General features: G+C 39.6%; 1 protein-coding gene across 7 annotated transcripts in view, besides 1 other annotated feature; it reads left to right on the top strand.

Moving 5' to 3' along the window:
• Nucleotides 1-20,321, top strand: part of TAF4B (TATA-box binding protein associated factor 4b) — a 165,241-nt gene that overhangs the window by 34,611 nt on the left and 110,309 nt on the right. For all 7 annotated transcript variants that reach the window (NR_121653.2, NM_001293725.2, XM_024451239.2 and 4 more), the window contains exons 2-5: nt 4,115-4,260; nt 6,461-6,568; nt 13,608-13,769; nt 13,876-13,998. Coding sequence is in view for 6 of the 7 variants with exons in the window: in NM_001293725.2 (NP_001280654.1) it covers nt 4,115-4,260; nt 6,461-6,568; nt 13,608-13,769; nt 13,876-13,998 (539 nt within the window). In the remaining variant the exon portion in view is untranslated. The remainder of the gene's footprint in view (nt 1-4,114; nt 4,261-6,460; nt 6,569-13,607; nt 13,770-13,875; nt 13,999-20,321) is intronic.
• Nucleotides 224-724: an enhancer, noted in NCBI's record as "H3K4me1 hESC enhancer chr18:23841243-23841743 (GRCh37/hg19 assembly coordinates)". NCBI's record gives its function as "activates a minimal SCP1, AML or CMV promoter by ChIP-STARR-seq in primed H9 embryonic stem cells {active_cell/tissue: H9 hESC(primed)}" and the evidence as "EXISTENCE:reporter gene assay evidence [ECO:0000049][PMID:30033119]".

Genomic DNA, 20,321 nt, shown 5'->3' on the forward strand with positions numbered 1-20,321 from the left:
TTTTTGATTTTTAAAAAAGGTCTGGCTAGACTGTTTTAGTGAGGTCTCCTTTTGCTACAATAAGCAGCTGCTGATGTTACTTTTTAGAGGGCACATCCTTGAACATGAGCACTGTCATTTTTTTTTTTTTTTTTTTTTTTTTTTGAGACGGAGTCTCGCTCTGTCGCCCAGGCTGGAGTGCAGTGGCGGGATCTCGGCTCACTGCCGGGATCTCGGCTCACTGCAAGCTCCGCCTCCCGGGTTCACGCCATTCTCCTGCCTCAGCCTCCCAAGTAGCTGGGACTACAGGCGCCCGCCACTACGCCCGGCTAATTTTTTGTATTTTTAGTAGAGACGGGGTTTCACCGTTTTAGCCGGGATGGTCTCGATCTCCTGACCTTGTGATCCGCCCGCCTCGGCCTCCCAAAGTGCTGGGATTACAGGCGTGAGCCACTGCGCCCGGCCAGCACTGTCATCTTTAGCAGGACTCTGTCTCTGCCTCATCTCTCTGTTAAGCTGTCTGCTTATGCTGGTATCACAGCTGGCTGTTAGGATCCACTCATTGCCAGCTGATTGCCCTATTGTTTTCAACAATGCCCTAGAGCCTAACTTGTTCCACAGTCTGATCCAATTAAATTTGGGCTCCTTTACAGAGATAATTTTTTAGGCCAGTGTTTGAGGTTTGTTCTGACCCAAGGAGGACCCTTCTTAGTTGTCTCTTTGGTTTTCTTTGGTAAACTAGTAGACTTATGGTTTAGCTTGTATCTCTCATGAAGCTACCAGCCTCGTCTTAATTGCTACTTTGTATTTGAGGGTGCCTTTAGCCTTGAACTTCTCCACTCTGTTTAACGTAAAGACATTTCATTTAGGGAGATATTGGGAGCAGAGGTCGGGACTGTGGCTTTCTTCTCTCTGAGTGATATCCCTGCTCTAGGAACAAGGTACTGGGTGTGGGCAGTACTCAGGTCTTTTCTGCTCACCTCTCCCAACATGGAACACCTCCAGCCTGTGAAAGAGCTGGGGTGAGACACTTGAGGTCCAAGTGTTCCCAGTGTGCTCTCCTTGAAGTACAGATTTCCTTTTATGAATGGGAATGGGTGAAAGAAGGGAGACTTGAACCCTAAGATGCACCTGTCTCAAGTTTATCCTCTTCAATATGTAGCTGGGATGGGGGGTGAGGATTGGGGGTAGATGAGAAATGCAAGTGACTTCCTCCTCCCGGGAAGATACCATAGCCTTAGATTGGGAGGTTAGGAGAGAGGGAGCCCTGTCTTCTTGGCCACACTCCCTGGAATGGAATTTCTGTCATGTTGAGCTGAGAAGGGAAAGAGAGGGGAGTTGGTTGCAGCAAATGCCACATATTCTTGCTATTCTTACTGAGTTTTAGCAGATCTCCAATAACTGTAGTCATTTTCTGCATGCCTTAGGACAGTTTCCAAACACTTTTTTTTTTTTTTTGAGACAGAATCTCTCTGTGTTGCCCAGGCTGGAGTGCAGTGACGCGATCTCGGCTTACTGTAACCACCACCTCCCAGTTTCAAGCGATTCTTGTGCTTCAGCCTCCTGAGTTACTACTCAGGATTACAGGTGCCTGCCACCACCCTCCACTAATTTTTGTATTTTTTTAGTAGAGACGGGGATTCACCCTGTTGGCCAGGCTTGTCTCAAACTCCTGGCCTCAAGTGATCTGCCTGCCTTGGCCTCCCAAAGTGCTGGGTTTACAAGTGTGAGCTACCATACCTGACCGGTTTCCAAAAACTTTGAATGATTGTTTTATAAAAATAATTTTCACCAGTTATGCCTATTTTACTGGGGAACAGAGTTGTAGAGATCCTCTTGCCACCATTCTGAAAGTGGAACTCCAGCTGTGAATATTTTTGTCTGTGCCTCCTTTTGACACAAAAGACTTTTTTTTTTTTAAAAGATTTTATTTAGAGACAGTGTTGTGCTCTGTCACCTAGGCGGAAGTGCAGTGGCACCATCATAGCTCACTACAGCCTTGAACTTTTGGGCTCAAGTGAGCCTCCCACCTCAGTCTCTTGAGTAGCTCGGACTACAGGCACATGCCCACTGCATTTGGCTAATTAAAAAATTGTTTTTGTAGAGACAGGGTCTCACTTTGTTGCTGAGGGTAGTCTCAAACCCCAGGTCTCAAGAGATCCTCCTGCCTTAGCCTGCCAAAGTGTTGGGATTACAGGCGTGAGCCACCATGCCTGGCCAATAATTACTTTAGGTTAGAAATACTGAGTTACAGGATATGCAAATGGAAATAAATTTGATGTAAAGTTGAAGAAAGTAGTTAGTTGTACTAAATTGTACTACCACCACCAAGATGTTAGAATTCCGTTGATACACGTTTCTCTAACCCTTGGTATTGTCATTGGTCATCTTAATCTTTGCTTGTCTATGTAGATATGAAGTGATATTTCACTGTGGTCTTAATTTACCTTTCCTTGTCCTTGGCCTCTGTGTTTCTTTTGTGCATTTTGGATACTCATCCTTTGAATATATGTGAACCAAAATTTTGCTTCATTTTGTGGCGTGTCCTATTACCTGATGGTGTCTTTTGCTGAATAACAGTTTTTACTTTTAATGTAGTTGAGTTTATTGAACTTTAAGAAATTCTTCCCTATCCCAAGTTCAGAAAGCCCTTTCTTTCTTTCGCTCTTTCTCTCTTTCTCTCTCTCTCTCTCTTTTTTGAGACAGGGTCTTGCTCTGTGTCCCAGGCTGGAGTGTAGATGCGATCATAGCTCATTGCAGCCTCGAGCTTGTGGGCTCAAGCTGTCCTCCTGCCTCAGCAGTTGTCCCAAGTAGCTGGGACTACGGGCTACAGGCATGCAGAAAGATAATTTTCTACATTGTCTAAGAGTTTAAAAATTTTTGCCTTTTACTTTTATATTCTTAATACACCTGGTTTTTGTGAATGTGTGTGAAATAGGCATCTGAAAGGTCTACCCAAAAGAAAGAAGCTGAGGCAGAATTAATATAGAGAGTTTATTTGGGCCGAGGTTGAGTACAGCTGCCCAGGACACACAAATTGCCTTGGGGAGTGCCTTTGTAATAAACAGGTTTTTAAAAGCAGAAAAAGGATAAAGAGTGGGTTGATTAAAATATTATTTGTCAGCCGGGTGCAGTGGCTCACACCTGTAATCCCAGCACTTTGGGAGGCTGAGGTGGGAGGATCACCTGGGATCAGGGATTTGAGACCAGCCTGGCCAACATGGCAAAACCTCATCTCTACTAAAAATACAAAAAAATTAGCTGGGCATGGTGGTGCATGCCTGTAATCCCAGCTACTGGGGAGGGTGAGGCAGGAGAATCTCTTGAACCCAGGAGGCGGAGGTTGCAGTGAGCCAAGATCGTCTGGGCGACAGAGCGAGACTCTGTCTCAAAAATAATAAAAATAAAAGAGTTATTTGTCAGGAATCCTCATTGGTTTACAGAAATAACATTGATTGGTTATAGATTGTTGAACTATAGAGTGTGGTTTATGTTATCTGGCATGTGGCATTGTTAGGTTACTTTAGAGCTACTTGTGGCTATAGCAAGCAGTTTCAAGAGAGGATTGATTACATAGCAAAGGGGAGTAAGACCTAATTGCTGTCTCATTTTAATGCCTCTCTGGGGGAGATAATTTTAAAGGGCTCACATTTACATATATTTTTCTTTCTCAAATTTTATCTTTTTCGTATAGATAGCTAATTGACCAGCCCCACTTACTGAATAGTCTCCTTTCCTCATAAGTCTACAGAGCCTTTTAGGAAAATGTGATATGATATATCTGCATGAGTTGATTTGGGGGTTCTCTATTCTATTCCAGTGGTCAGCTTATTCAGTCTTATGCTGTTAACTACACCATCTTAATTACTGTAGCTTTATAGATAGTTTTGATGTCATGAAGGAAAAGTGTTTTGCTTTCTTCAGGAGCATCTCATTATATTCATAGATTTTAAATTTTTAAATAGCTTGGAGTAAAAACATTTGTTCATCTTTGTATATAAGTAGCAGACATGAAATTCAGTATGTATTGAAGACATCTTTTTAAAGTGTTGAAAGAAATGGGAGAAGAAAATATGTGATGGTTATGCTGTATTTAGTGGCTCAGAGGTCACTTTTTTTTCTTTTTTAAATATAGGAACCGTTTTGATTAAAAGTAACAGTGGTCCGTTGATGTTGGTATCTCCTCAGCAAACTGTAACAAGAGCCGAGACCACAAGTAACATAACCTCAAGGCCAGCAGTACCAGCGAATCCTCAAACAGTCAAAATCTGTACAGTGCCGGTAATATACCTTAAATATTTTTCATCTTTCTTTGTTTCTCAGCTATAATTTTCATATAAATGTTGTGTATATGTTTGCTAGTAAAAAATAATGTAAGACATGATTCTATTCAGCTTTTTAGGTCAGCTTGCCTTGAATATGTCAATTTAATAAAGATTTTTGGTTTTGTCCTCTGATAATTGCCAAAATAGTAAATTCAGTCTTCAGATTTTATGTCCTCAAAGGAATGTTCAGAGGGCTATCTGCATCTTTTTTGAGACAGGATCTCACTCTCTCTCCCAGGCTGGAGTACAATTGCGTGAACATGGCTCACTTGGTTCACTGCAGCCTCAAGCTCCCGAGCTCAGATAATCCTCCTGCCTCAGGCTCGCATATAGCTGGGACCACAACTGCATACCACCATGCCCGACTAATTTTATTTTTTGCACAGGTAGCATGTCGCTTTGTTGCTCAGGCTGGTCTTGAATTCTTGGGCTCATGACAGTCCTCTTAGCCTCCCAAAGTGCTGGGATTATAGGTGTGAGCCACTGCACCTGGCCTATTTGCATCTTAAATGGAAAGAATATAATAATTCTGCCTCCCGAGTAGCTGGGATTACAGGCGCCCACTGCCATGCCTAGCTAATTTTTGTGTTTATTTAGTAGAGACACGGTTTTGCCATGCTAGCCAGGCTGGTTTTGAACTCCTGACTTCAGGTGATCTGCCCGCCTCCGCCTCTCGAAGTGTTGGGATTACAGGCGTGAGCCACTGCACTTGACCAGTTCTGCTTTAATTTTAATTTTTGGTAAAATAGTAATATTCTTTTTTGTTTTTTGAGACGGAGTTTTGCTCTTGTTACCCAGGCTGGAGTGCAATGGTATGATCTTGGCTCACCGCAACCTCTGCCTCCCAGGTACAAGTGATTCTCCTGCCTCAGCCTCCTGAGTAGCTGGGATTACAGGCATGTGCTACCACGCCCAGCTCATTTTGTATTTTTAGTAGAGATGGGGTTTCTCCATGTTGGTCAGGCTGGTCTCGAACTCTTGACCTCAGGTGATCCGCCCACCTTGGCCTCCCAAAGTGCTGGGATTACAGGCTGAGTACTGTACCCAGCCTATAGTATTCATTTTCATTTGTATCTTACAGAAATTATCTTTAAGAAATACAGAAATCTGCTGCATTTCATTAACTTGGCATTGTTAGAATGACCTATTTTACATCCATGGTGATCTTTCTAGATAACTGAAGCTTACCTTGTTTGATAGAGTTAAAAATATTTTTGTGGGGCTGTGCGCGGTGACTCACGCCTGTAATCCCAGCACTTTGGGAGGCTGAGGTGGGTGGATCACGAGGTCAGGAGATCGAGACCATCCTGGCTAACACGGTGAAACCCTGTCTCTACTAAAAATACAAAAAAATTAGCCTGACGTGGTGGCAGGCGCCTGTAGTCCCAGCTACGCGGGAGGCTGAGGCAGGAGAATGGCATGAACCCAGGAAGCGGAGCTTGCAGTGAGCCGAGATCGTGCCACCTCACTCCAGTCTGGGCGACAGAGCGAGACTCTGTCTCAAAACAAAACAAAAAAAACAAACAAAAATTATATATGTATATTTTTTAATGGGTATTTTATTTAAATAAAAATACTGAATGTAGTTTAGCATTTTCTTGATGAATCAGGCTCATTGTAATGACAGATTGCATTGTTTTTTATAATAATCATTCTCTGCCAGTGTTTTTCATTTTTGTGCCCTACTAATTTGATTCTAGGTCCTGAAACAGTCATTTTCTCTGTTACTGTATCTGTCAATAATAGCCACTCCTTCCCTTTCTAGTTTGGTTTAACTGCTGTGGGTTGAGAATGTAGATTAGCAGGTTTTTGTTTATAATTAAATATTACATAAGAATCTATTTTTTCTGTATGAACCAAAGAGTCAAGATTAAGATTTTAATGTTGAATACTGTAATATTTATTTAGTTTGAAATTTCAGATAAATGGGTTATTTATTGAATCAGTTGCCACCTTAGAAATATGAAATGAGTGTCATCTGGGCAGCTGACCAGTTAGGTTTATAGTATAGAATGTGCATAAAACACATTAGGTTATAACTCCAGTCATAACAAATACATTTGCTGTCATAAAGTGTTCTAATGTTCACTGCAGTACTGATCTTAAATTACTAACGCTAATGACTTTGTGTTATCTTGCTCCCCTCCACCGCCAAGAACTCTAGCTCACAATTAATCAAGAAAGTGGCAGTGACACCTGTTAAAAAATTGGCACAAATAGGAACTACTGTGGTAACCACTGTTCCGAAGCCTTCCTCAGTACAAGTAAGTTGTGCTGGCCATTCGTGCACTTGTTGTTCTCTTAACTTTTAAAAAAATCATTTAGCTATCTCCTGTTAGATATGTAAGTTACTGTGTGACATTGAAGATAGCAATTCAGTAATATATGATGGCACTTATCAAACTGGGAACTGTTGGAGGTATGGGAAACAAGATAAACATGGTGTACATTCTTGGAATACCAGTTTTACTTCAGTGTATTAAGTTAATACAAATCTGCCTAATAGCCATGTGTTGCAGTATCTGGAAGCAGGTTCTGAGATAAAATTTGGGATATGTAGGGATAAATACCCATGGAAGGAAAGGAGAGTAGATAAGGGTTTAAACTAGATGCAGGCCCAATAAAGCCTTAGCCATCTTAGTGGAGAACTTTGGAGGATATATGGCCGGTCAGCATTGTCCCACTATGGGTTAACATGGTTGGCTGGGCCTTAATTCCTACTCTCTGTTCAGTCACTGGATGTGGACTTTCCTGGGAAAGTTACCTTTGGGCAAGGTGATCCTCTGCAGCTGAGGGAAGCCTGATGGAACTTATAAATGGAGGCTGTCTAATATCATTCCTAGCAGCTAGCTAGGACAGTACATATCACTCCTTGTCATGGTTCATCACAGGCTACTCCTTGCATCACTTGTATGTGTTTCCTCATACATGTTGGAGATCAGCTGTTCTGGGATTCTCATGGTTTTCGTCTTTGGGGAAACAAAGAGGAGGCTAATACGATGAACTACAGTCCCCACTGCTGCAGCTGGTTTCTGGTGGCACCTGATATTAATTATTTCCCTCTTCCACTGTGCCTTCCTAGATTCCCTTCCCCTCAACTACCAACTATACTGGTCTTTGTTAACTTAAATGATAACGACCAGACCCTCATCCCTGAGGGATCTGTGGTCTTAATAACCATGTTCATTTGAGGTCAGGGTTGCTACGGCTTGTCTATTTATCATCACAATTGGGCAAGGAAATACAAGGAGGCATTTAAGTGAATCACCTGAATCATGTGGATTTGCCACACATACTTCTTTTTGCCTCCATTGCGTAATAGCAACCCTACCTCCTCCAGATGATGGGAGTCGATTACTCTTCCTAAGATAATTACTCCTGTCTTTCCTGCTGGATCATGGTTACAAGGAACCATAGTGCAGCCATAGTGTCTATTTTATTTATTTTTTATTTTGTTTTGTTTTATTTTATTTTATTTTTGAAGACAGAGTCTCACTCTATCACCTAGGCTGGAGCACTGTGGTGCAATCTTGGCTCACTGCAACCCCTACTCCCTGGGTTCCAGTGATTCTCCTGCCTCAGCCTCCCAAGTAGCTGGGATTACAGGTGTGTGCCACCATGCCCAGCTGATTTTTTGTATTTTTAGTAGGGATGGGGTTTCACCATGTTGGCCAGGCTGGTCTCGAACTCTTGACCAAGTAATCCGCCTACCTCAGCCTCCCAAAGTCCTGGGATTACAGGCATGAGCCACCGCACCCGACTCTTAGTGTCTGTTCTTAGTGTCTATTTACAGGAACTCTTGCTTTGTCCTCTGGTAGAGGTGTTTGCTTCCTGTGGGCAGAAATGGGAAACACAAAGTCCTCCAGTGAGTGTTTGTTGTGAGTGATGGTAAGTGGGGGCCATTCATGCTTCTTCTCCTTGATTCCTTGATCTATGGGTTTGTCCTGTTGGGGACATAGTACTATATGGAAATTTTTGATTCAATGAGTATGCTGAGTCTTGGAGGATGGAATCCCATACTCATAGAGTATTGCCTCTATGTTTGTACTTCACCTGTACCTCTTGCTGGCTGTTCTAATATTTTACTAGACTCCTAGTTTCCGAGTCAAGACATATGTGATGAAACCAGTGGATCTGATAGTCCTGGGACTATGCATCTTCTTGGAGCCTGCTACCTGGAATCCCATGCTAGTAGATCAGACCTTCTTTTGGTGTTCCAAACTTGAACCATACTGCTCACGTTCTTTTCATCTAACAGAAATGATGAGCAGTGAATCTGATTTTAAACGTAATATTTTTCTACTAATACCATTTGTTGTCACTTAACATGCTTGACACTTTTTTAGGTGCCTTACATTCATCTCATTTCATCCTTGTGACTATACTATAAGGAAGTGTTATCTCTATTTTATATGAGAGGTTAAGAAGCTTGCTTGATTTCTGCTAGTATGTGGCAGAGTGAGGATTTGAGCCTTTATCTGACTCTGGAAACTGTTCTTAATGACCTATGTACTGATTATCTCAAAACCTACTGTATTTTTTTCCTTAGGATAAATTTTAAGGAGATTATTGGGCCAAAGAATATAAATTTAGGCCTATTGATAGCTACTATCATATTGTTTTATGAAGAAGTTAACCACTTTAGACTATCAGTACTTCGAGTATATCAGTTTTTCATTGGATATAGTTCTTAAAGATTGAGTACATAAATAACACCACAGGTTAAAAAAATATATTGTGGAGAGAAAACATACTTAGCAACATGATCTTAGATACTTAAGACTGCCATTTGCACATTATGGCTCTTCAGGACACAGAGAGCAAATTATGTTGTGCTGGGATAACTGAAGGAACTCCATTACACTACTTCTTCAGGGCCCTTTTGGGAGCCAGTTTAGTGGTAAAGTGAGTTTCTTGGATATTACTTCTTAGAGTGTATTAGGGATTCTCTACATCCATGGGCTTTAATTTGTCCCCTGCCAGCTACAGCCACAATTCTATTTCTGTGCTCTCTGAATATTCGTTGAAGTCTTAATAGTTCTAGAACATGAAAGCTTGTGTTCATTTACTTAGTAATCATAGCCAGTGATCACTAATTATATTTGTAGTTTTTAAAAAAATTACTTTATTTAAAAAATAGAGATGAGGTCTTACTCTGTTGCCCAGGCTGTTCTTGAACTCCTGGGGCTCAAGCAAATCCTCCCGCCTCTGCCTTGCAAAATGCTGGGATTATAGGCATCAGCCATTGCACCCAGCCTTTATTAGTAGTTTTTATAAAAGAGACAACCTGGAGCCTGTGAATTCAGGTGAAGGGGAAAATCTTTACTAAGCTTAAACTAAAACTTAGAGTTTCTTGCAACTATGAATGTAGGCTTCAAACTATGGAACCATTTTGAGGGGGAAAATCTTTACTAAGCTTAAACTAAAACTTAGAATTTCTTTCAGCTACAAATGTAGGCTTCAAACTACAGAACCATGGAGTATTACATTGTGTTAGTACATATCTGTGACTTTGTCACAATAGAAATAATTGAAATTTGTATGTTTCCTCGTGTTTGTAGTTATTTTAAAATGCTCATGTTAATCTGTCATTGATATTTTTGTGTGGACCATTTATTTTTCTTAGCTAATTTAGGTTGATGCATATTTTAAGTTGGGCTACTCCTTAGTGGTAGCCTAGAACAGTGGAAATTAGTAAAGAATGAAGTTAATGATATCTGTCCACTTTAAGGGATAAGCATCTCAGTTTTAGGCATGGAAATAAGGAGCTAGAACTTAAAAATGAGAGAAGATACAACTCCTTGTACTTGATTGTCAGACTGTAAATGCAAATGTGTGTGTTAAGAAATTTTGAAAGTATTTTCCTATTAGGCTTAGTCTGATAAATATAACACAAGAACTAGTTAGAAATCTTGTGTTCACTTTTACCTTGTATTTGATGAAGATGTAGTTTGGCCCATTGTTAGATTGGAATCTAATGTGCAAATGACTAGTATTTCTAATTAAATGTGAATAAACCTAAAGCAATTGCTGTTTCAGACAGGTACAGAAAATGACCCTCCTTGAAATGCTATTTCATCTTCTAAATTTCCATACAACTCATTTTATTGGCTCTGTGTAGAATTGGTTTTCACACATTTATTTCACATATACTTCAGTCCGTTTTCCTCCTGTCCTCAAGACATGCCTAGTCAGTCAGTGCAGCCTTGAAAAGCATTGAAGTTACCATTGGCTGGTCTGTTGAGTCAAAGGCGGAGTTGTGATTGAGTTTAAGACACTTTGGGCCAGGCATGGTGAGTCACACCTGTAATCCCAGCACTTTGGGAGGCCTAGGCAGGTGGATCACCTGAGGTCAGGAGTTTGAGACCAGCTTGGCCAACATGTTGAAACCCTGTCTCTACTAAACATTCAAAAATGAGCCGGGTGGTGTGGTGGGGGGCGGCTCTCATCCCAGCTACTCAGGAGGCTGAGGCAGGAGAATCACTTGAACCCAGGAGGCGGAGATTGCAGTGAGCCGAGATCGCACCACTGCACTCCAGCCTGGTGGACAGAGCCAGACTCCGTCTCAAAAAAAAAAAAAAAAAGACACTTTTAAGGGTGAGGGGGAATGGAATTTATTAGGCGAAAAGAAAAAAAAAACTCAGCAAAGCCAGAGGGGTTCCCGTTAGCAGGCCCCCATCTCACAAATTGAATCTCGGGTCACCACACAGGAACAGGAGAGGCCAGGCTCCTCCCCCTTGCAAAGGGCCTGATCTTCCTGAGGCTCCACCCCTCCTCCTCCCAGTGGGCAGGCGCGTGGGGGATTCTTCTGGAACCTTTCCCCTAATCTTCCGGTTGCGTCTATCAAGATCATCAGGCATTAGATTCTCACGAGGAGAGTGCAGCTTAAATCACCTGCATGTGCAGTTCACGAGAAGGTTCATGCTGCTATGAGACTAATGGCACCGCTGGCCTGACAGGAGGCAAAGCTCAGGCAGTAATGCTCACTTGCCTCCTCTGTGTGTCTCTATTCCTGACAGGCCACAGACCTATACCCGCCCGCGGCACAGGGGTTGGGGACCCCTGTGGTAAGATACAAGTAGTAGCTATACTAGAAAGTGTTATGAAGGACAGATTTTTTTTTTACTGGAGACAGGATAAAACATTGACAAGGAAAATAGAATTCCATAAATGCCCCCTCTACTTGTAAACGATAGGACGTTTTTCCTAAACTCACATTTCAGTTGGACCTTAGTTTGCTTCCTGAGGGAGGGGGACAGTACACCCCCAAGGAACCTCTCCCATCAGTCCTCAGAGGTGATCATAACCACCAGCTAAAATTCCAGATTACACTTTCTTAAATATGGCAGTACAGAGAGTTAATGACTGATTATAAGATAGACTAAAGAAAGAGGCTTATTTACTGTATAGAAAACTAAAAATTTATTAGAAAATCTCCACAAGAATTCAGAAGAAACTGAGTGGTAGGTTGGAGAGCAGGACTAAAGATATGAAAAGGAGGGAGACTTCCTTTTGAATGTGCATTTGAGGCTCTATATTTAACAAAATTGTACTAACTTAGGTGTAATTTTTAATTTTATCTCTTTTGTTAAAAACTTTATTGTTCTAGTCCTCATCATTAATCAGTAATTTTAAAATCTTATTAAAGTTTTTGCCAGGTGAGCCTTTAGTTTACTTTTCTTTTATTATCCTTATTCAATATTGAAATATGTTACAGACCTTTCTCATAAAATGAACTGAACAGCTTTCCCTATTCTGTTTTTCTAGAACATGTTGTATAAGACAGGAGTTATGCAAAAGTGTGGAAAAATCACATGGAAAATATCTGAGCCTGGAGACTTGAGGGAGGGAGGTCTTTTTGGGTATCATTTCAATGTCTTTAATTTGTCTATTCTAGTTTCTGTGTTTTGTGCTAATTTTGTCATTTCATGTTTTTCCAAAAACCCTTTTGGTTTTGTTTCAAATGTATTAGCATATGGTATTTAATATTTTTATTATGCATTATGAAATATACATGCAAACAAGACTACATGTGATATGTACACATATGTAATATGTACACATATGTAATATGTCTGCTGTTGAAAAAAATAATAGTAAAATGAAGGCCCATATACCCCAAACCCATGTTAGGGCCACCATGTGTCCCCACTCCTCTCCTTCTATCAATTCTCAGCATTTTAAATGTTCTTCCTGTTTGTAAAGAAAATTTTTTTCTAGAGACAGGGTCTTGTTAGGTTACCCAGACTGGTCTCGAACTCCTGTCCTCAAGCAATCCTCCTGGCTCAGCCTTCCAAAGTGCTGGTATTGTAAGTGTGAGCCACTGCACTTGTCCTTCTTCCCATTTTTTACCCTCAGAACATTCTTGTCTAGTACATATTCCAGTCTCTCTAATGTGGGAGATTTTATTGTACATTCAAATTCACCTATCTTGACTATTATAGAAGGAAATTTTCTTGAAGGTGATTGCAACTTGACCTTTTTGTGTTGCATGCTTGTAGAACATAGACATTTAAATTAAATGATGGTGCATTGTTCAGTTTTCTGTGTGAATTGTATGTAAATACTATTCCTTATCCCTGATCCCCAAACTTTTATTATGTTCTGTAACTTTTAGTGTTTGTCTTTAAGATTGTTGCTTTATCTCAATGTGATTTTCTAAATTACTGCCTGACTTGTGATTGCTTGTATGAGGTTTTTGTCCTGTAGGTGATGCTAGCTAGAGTCACACCTCATTTTGATAGAAGGTAGAGAAACAACTGAAATTCTTTTCAGTGTGAATATAAGATACCACGTTTTATAATATTCTTCATGCTTACTTTAATGGTCTACATAAAAGCAGTTTATCTAAATTTTAGATAATAAGTAGATTGCTCTGCTTTGTTCTTAAGAAAAAGCAGAATATTCTATGTTCTCATAAAGACTTTCAGATACTTCTTGGAGTATTAATAATATTTTTTGAGGACTTATTTGCTTTAGCACTGTTTTTCACAAAAAATCCTAGGACAGCAGGTACCGTTGCAATCCCTATTTTTGCAGAGAGTAATCAGGATTAGCAAGATTAAGTAACTTGCCTGCAGTCAACACTTGGTAGGTGGTAATGAAATAGTAGATGGGGTGAGAATGAAACCCAGATCTGCTAGACTCAAGAGTTCCTAGAACTGTATTATATTGCCTTAGACTACTAGAGCATAACATAAAACCACAGATGTCAAAATTAACTTGTCTGATGAGTGTGAAATGAGGCACCCACTAATGTATCATAGTAATACATGCCTAAATATTTAATACCTTTAATTTCAGTCTGTGGCTGTGCCAACCAGTGTCGTCACAGTTACTCCTGGAAAGCCATTGAATACTGTAACTACCCTGAAGCCTTCAAGTTTGGGAGCATCATCCACTCCTTCAAATGAGCCCAATCTTAAAGCAGAGAACTCAGCAGCTGTTCAGATTAATCTTTCTCCGGTAAGCTCTTACTTGCACCTTACATAAATCTTGTTCCTTGCAAGTTCTTTTGAATTGTTTGCTCACTAACACTTGTGTTTGCTTATATTTACATTTTCATATTTAGACAATGCTAGAAAATGTGAAGAAATGCAAGAACTTCCTTGCAATGTTAATAAAACTAGCATGTAGTGGATCACAGTCCCCAGAAATGGGGCAAAATGTGAAGAAGCTGGTGGAACAACTTTTGGTAAGTAGTGCTATAAAATCCTGCAAATTCTGGAGGAATCCATATAACATGTTGTAATTGGGAAATGCATATTTTTAAATGGGATTTATTTAATTTATTTATTTATTTAATTTATGTTTTGAGACAGAGTCTCGCTCTGTTGCCCAAGCTGGAGTGCAGTGGCGTGATCTAGGCTGACTGCAACCTCTGCCTCCTGGGTTCAAATGATTCTCCTGCCTCAGCTTCCTGAGTAGCTGGGATTACAGGTGTGCATCACCACGCTCGGCTAATTTTTGTATTTTTAGTAGAGACGGGGTTTTGCCATGTTGGCTGGGCTGGTCTCAAACTCCTGGCCTCAAGTGATGCACTTGCCCTGACCTCCCAAAGCGTTGGGATTACAGGCGTGAACCACCAAGCCCGGCCTGAGATTTATTTTAAATGTAGTTCTTGATAAATTTTGTTTTTTGCTTCTTGAAAGCTTTGTAAAGACTATAAATCTTGGCTAGAAAAACCTATTGTATATTTCTTTTGAAAATTTACCTTTTTAAAAAAATTGTATATGTTTAAGGTATACAACATGATGTTTTGATATATATATTATTTCTGTACATCAGTCTTGCCTCCCTTACTCTACAAAGGGCCTTGGAGAAAAGGTTCATTATTTAGTCAATAGGAAATTGTTATTAGAATTATGAAATCTCTGCTGGGCACAGTGGCTCATGCCTGTAATCCCAGCACTTTGGGAGGCCGAGGCAGGTGGATCACCTGAGGTCAAGAGTTTGAGACCAGCCTGGCCAACATGGTGAAATCTCTTCTCTACTAAAAATATAAAAATTAGCCAGGTGTGGTGGCGCACGCCTGTAATCCCAGCTACTTGGAAGGCTGAGGCAGGAGAATGGCTTGAACCTGGGAGGCAGAGGTTACAGTAAGCTGAGATTGCACCACTGTACTCTAGCCCGGGCAACAGAGCAAGACTCTGTCTCAAAAAAAAAAAAAAAAAGAAAAGAAAAGAAAAAAGAATTATGAAATCTCAGAAAGCCAGGCTATCAATAGATAATGAAATTCGGTTCTTATATGTCCAGATAGACACCAAGCTTTGGGACCACAGAAGTTAGTTAATGCTCTTAGGCCTCACTTTCCTTATCTATAAGATTCTCATCTTGCAGATGAGAATGTTAAACATGATGATCGTTGATGTTTATATGAGTGCCAAGATGCTGTGTCTTTTAGCTACCAAATTATATGCCTTTGGTTTCTTACATCCTCTTTCAGGTAAAATATGTAGGTGCACTAAAAAGAGTGGAGATAGAAGTTAGCAAATATTTCATATTATATGCTTAAGACATGCTGAGGATATAACAAACAAATGGATTTGGATTTTTTGAACTACTATAATATACAGATTTCTCTCACCACGTAATTAGAATTATATTTTTCACATAAAAATTATCCCTTTTTCCAAGTATAAAATGTGTATATTTCAAATATTATACAGCAAAAACAAGCATAGTTTATAAATATTAAAATACCTTCTTTACTACTGTTTTTAATGCTGCCTGTAAGATGTTAGAGCACACTTGAAATGGTTAGTTTTTCATTTGGGAAGATGTTTTTATTACAGATGTCTAAAATACCTCATACTAACAAATTTTTAATTCAACTTACGGGTGTCTTTTTAAAAGTAAACATTGAGCTTTTGATCTTCCCTTTTCAAGGTATGCTAGTTTTGAAAGGGGATATGATGACTTGTTTCTCTGAAATGGAATACTCTAGATGAAGAGACCTGTTGGAAATGAATACGTATCCCATAAAATATTAAAGACTTTTTAACCACAAAACATATGTGTGAATTTTATGGACAGATAGAAACAGTTAGGAATTAAATATTACCTCTAGTTTTAAGATCTGTTTACTTTAGAACGACAAACAGCAGTTCTAAAACATTTTGGTTTTAGGATACCTTTAAATTCCTAAAACTTGAGGACTCCCCAAGGCATTTTGTTTTTTGTGGGGTTAACATTAAAACTGAAAAATGCTTAACTTTTTTTATTGAAAAAATTTTTTTTTGAGATAGGGTCTTAACTCTGTCACCCAGGCTGGAGTGCAGTGGCGTGAACAAGGCTCCCTGCTTTCTTGACCCTCCTGGGATCAAGCAATCCTCCCACGTCAACCTCCCAGGTAACTGGGACCACTGACATGTGCCACCACACCTGGCTAATTTTTTGATTTTTTTTGTAGAGACAGGGTCTTGCTATGTTGCTCAGGCTGATCTCAAACTCCTGAGCTCAAGTAATCATCCCACCTTGGCCTGGCGAAGTGCTAGGATTACGGGCATGAGCCACCGTGCCCAGCTTGTTTATTAACAAATAACAGTAAACCCATTAAATGTTAACACAACTGACATTTAAGTGAAAACCGAGTTTCAAAACAACAACAGAATTGAATGAGAAGAGTGGCATTGCTGTACCAATTTTGCAAATCTCTTTAGTGGCTGACCTAATGGAAAACAGCTGGATTCTCATATCTTCTGCATTTAATCTGTTTTGTGATATGTTATTTTTTTGGGAGTATTTGGAGAATATCTGGTCTTGTGAAGAGAGGTGGTTGGAATAGTGATTATTTTTTTAAAAATAGCTTTTCTCCAGATCATGGTGGATATTCTTTAGAGTCTACTGGTTTATCCTGCATGCTGAATGGATCTTTTACCCACGTATGATTTTTGTAATGACATTCATTGTTCATTGGGAAAATACTGGTTCACTGAGTTATGCAGATCTTTCAAATGTTTCCAGATTTATTATTTAAGATATCAAAATAACATGCTCATTAAATTCACCAACCTTATTAGAAAATTCTTGTACCAGGAAGCTATCAAGCTCAGAATAGTTGTTACACATTTTTCAAAATTGTAATTTTGGCTGGAGAGCTTTAATTTTTATCATTAGCAACAAATGCTATCCATTGTTTTCTTTACTGTTAGTGGTTTAGTTTGTTGTTGAGAAAATATCTAACAAATACCCAAGTCTGAATAACCACAATTGCTTTGCCATTCTTTTCAGTAAAAATGGAAAAAAGTGGCTAGTTTAGCGACTCAATTACAGTGCTTTTCCTTGATCCTCTGACTTTGATCTGCAACAAAAATGCTCCATGTATGTTTCCTATTTTGTTATATACAATATTAAAGAGGTATCTACTGAAGAGTTGAGATTTAGTAAAGTTAATTTTTACTGCTTCATCCAAGGATGTTTCAAAGTGAAATTGGGTCTATTTTTTTTTATTTTTATTTTTTAGAGTAAGAGTCTTGCTCTCTTGCTCAGGCTGGAGTGCAGTGACATGATACTAGCTCACTGCAGCCTCAAACTTACGGGCTCAAGGGCTCCTTCCACTTCACCCTCCAAGTAGCTAGGACTAAGAGGTGTGTGCCACCATGCCCAGCTAGTTTTAAAATATTTTTTTGTAGTGACAGGGTTTCACTTTGTTACCCAAGCTAGTTTCCCAACTCCTGGCCTCAAGCGATCCTGCACCCTTGGCCCGCCAAAGTACTGGGATTACAGGTGTGAGCCACTGTGCTTGGCCTTCTGTTGTTTTTTTTTTTTTTTTCTCCAAGCACATAGCACTGTAGAATGTGATGATGGCTGTTTCACTTTGCCATTGCCTTTCTTACCGGTAGTTTTACCCATTGTTGCCTTTGCACCATGTGTGCAAACATTAGCTTAGTGAAAAAGGCTTTCTCTCCAAGATGTTAGTATTAATGGAAAATAATTTAGATCACACATACCCCTGAAATGCTTAATAGTGTAAGCAATGTGTAAAGGTTCCTCAGTTCTTTGGAACTGCTGTTATGGATTTACAATGTCATTCTGAAAATAGTCTTGCAGATCCATAGCCAACATCATATTGAATGGGCAGAAGCTCGAACCATTTCCCTTGAGAATTGGAACAAGACAAGGTCTCACCATTCCTATTTAACATAATATTGGAAGTTGTAGCCAGAGCAGTCAGGCAAGAGAAAGAAATAAAGGCCTCCAAATAGGAAAAAAAAGGAGTAAAACTCTGTCTTCACTGATGATATGATTCTATGCCTAGGAAATCTTAAAGACTCTGCCAAAAGGCTTCTAGAACTGATAAACGACTTTAGTAAAGTTTCAGGGTACAAAATCAGTTTTCAAAAATCAGCATTTCTATACACCAAAAATGTTCTAGCTAAGAGCCAAATCAAGAGCACAGTCCCATTTACAATAGCCACACACACAAAAATGAAGTACCTAGGAATACAGCTAACCAAGGAGGTGAAAGATGTCTGCAAGGAGAAATACAAAACACTGTTGAAAATTCATGCTTATGGACTGAAAGAATTGATATCATTAAAATAGCCATACTGCCCAAAGCAATTGACAGATTCAATGTTACTCCTGTCAAACTACCAATGTCATTTTTCACAGAATTAGAGAAAACTCTTTTAAAATTCATATAGGACCAAAAAAGAGCCTGAATAGCCAAAACAATTAGAAGCAAAAAAAAAAAAAAAACAACAACAACAAAGCCAAGTGGCATCACATTACCTGACTTCAGACTATACTGTAAGGCTACAGTGATCCAAACAGCATGGCACTGATACAAAAACAGACACATAGACCAATTGAACAGAATAGAGAACCCAGAAATAAAGCTGCACACCTACAACTATCTGATCTTTGACATTGTCAACAAAAATAAGTAATGGGGCCTGGCCACAGTGGCTCACACCTTTTATAATCCTAGCACTTTGGGAGGCTGAGGCAGGTGGATCGCTTGCAGTCAGGAGATTCAGACCAGTATGGTCAACATGGCGAAACCCCATCTCTACTAAAAAAATACAAAAATTAGCTGGGTGTGGTGGCATATGCCTGTAGTCCCAGCTACTCAGGAGGCCGAGGCAGGGGAATTGCCTGAACCTGGGAGGGGGAGGTTGCAGTGGGCCAAGATCACGCCACTGCACTACAGCCTAGGTGACACAGTGAGACTCTATCTCAAAAAAAAAAAAAAGTAGTGGGGAAAGGACTGATTCTATACATGGTGCTGGGATAACTCATTATCTATGTGCGGAAGAATGAAACTGGACCCCTACTTTTCACCATATATAAAAATTAACTTGAGATGGATTAAAGATTTAAATGTAAGACCTCAAACTGTAAAAGTCCTAGAAGAAAACCCAGGAAATACCCTGCCTGACATCGGCCTTGGCAAAGAATTTATGGCAAACTCTCCAAAAGCAATTTCAACAAAAACAAAAATTGACAAGTGGAACCTAACTAAACTAAGGGCTTCTGCACAGCAGAAGATACTATCAACAGAGTAAACAGACCACCTACAGAATGGAAGAAAATATTTGCGAACTATATATCTGACAAAGGTCTAATATACAGAATCAATAAGGAACTTAAAAATCAACAAGAAAAAACCCCATTAAAAAATAGGTAAACAACATGAACAGACATTTCTGAAAAGAAGACATACAAGCAGCCAACAAACATGAAAAGATGCTCATCATCACTAATCATCAGAGAAATGCAAATCAGAACCACAATGAGATACCACTCATACTAGTCAAAATGTCTGTTACTAAGAAGTCAAAAAACAGATGCTGGTGGGGCTGCAAAGAGAAGCGAACACTTATACGCTGTTGGTGGGAATGTAAATTAGGTTAGCTACTGTGGAAAGCGGTTTGAAGATTTCTTAAAGAACTAAAAATAGAACTACCATTTGACCCAGCAGTGCCATTACTGGGTATATATCCAAGAGAAAATAAATCATTCTATAAAAAAGACATATGCACTTGTATGTTTATCGCAGCACTACTCAAAACAGCCAAGACATGGAATCAGCAGAGGTGTTAATTGACAGTGGGTTGGATAAATAAAAAGTGGTACATATACACCATGGAATACTACACAACCATAAAAAAGAACAAGATCATGTTTTTTGTAGCAATGTGAATGGCCATTATCCTAAGCAAATTGGTGCAGGAGTAGAAAACCAGATACTACATGTTCTCACTTACAAGTGGGAGCTAAACATTAAGTACACTTGGACGTAAAGATGGGAACAATAGACACTGGGAACTACTAGAAAGTGGGAGTGAGGGGTTGTGTGGGCTGAAAAACTACCTCCTAGATAACTGTGCTCACTACCTGGGTGACGAGATCATCTGTACCCCAAACTTGTACTTGTACCTCTTGAATCTAAAATAAAAGCTGAATTTTTTTTTTAATCTAAGATCATAGTTACCTTTCCTTGAATGCTCCTTCCACAACTTCATGAAGAAAAAACCAGATGTTCTCTGTCACCGCACAATTATAATCTTT

This window comes from Homo sapiens, chromosome 18 (assembly GCF_000001405.40).
Source record: "Homo sapiens chromosome 18, GRCh38.p14 Primary Assembly".
NCBI classification, from domain to species: domain Eukaryota; kingdom Metazoa; phylum Chordata; class Mammalia; order Primates; family Hominidae; genus Homo; species Homo sapiens.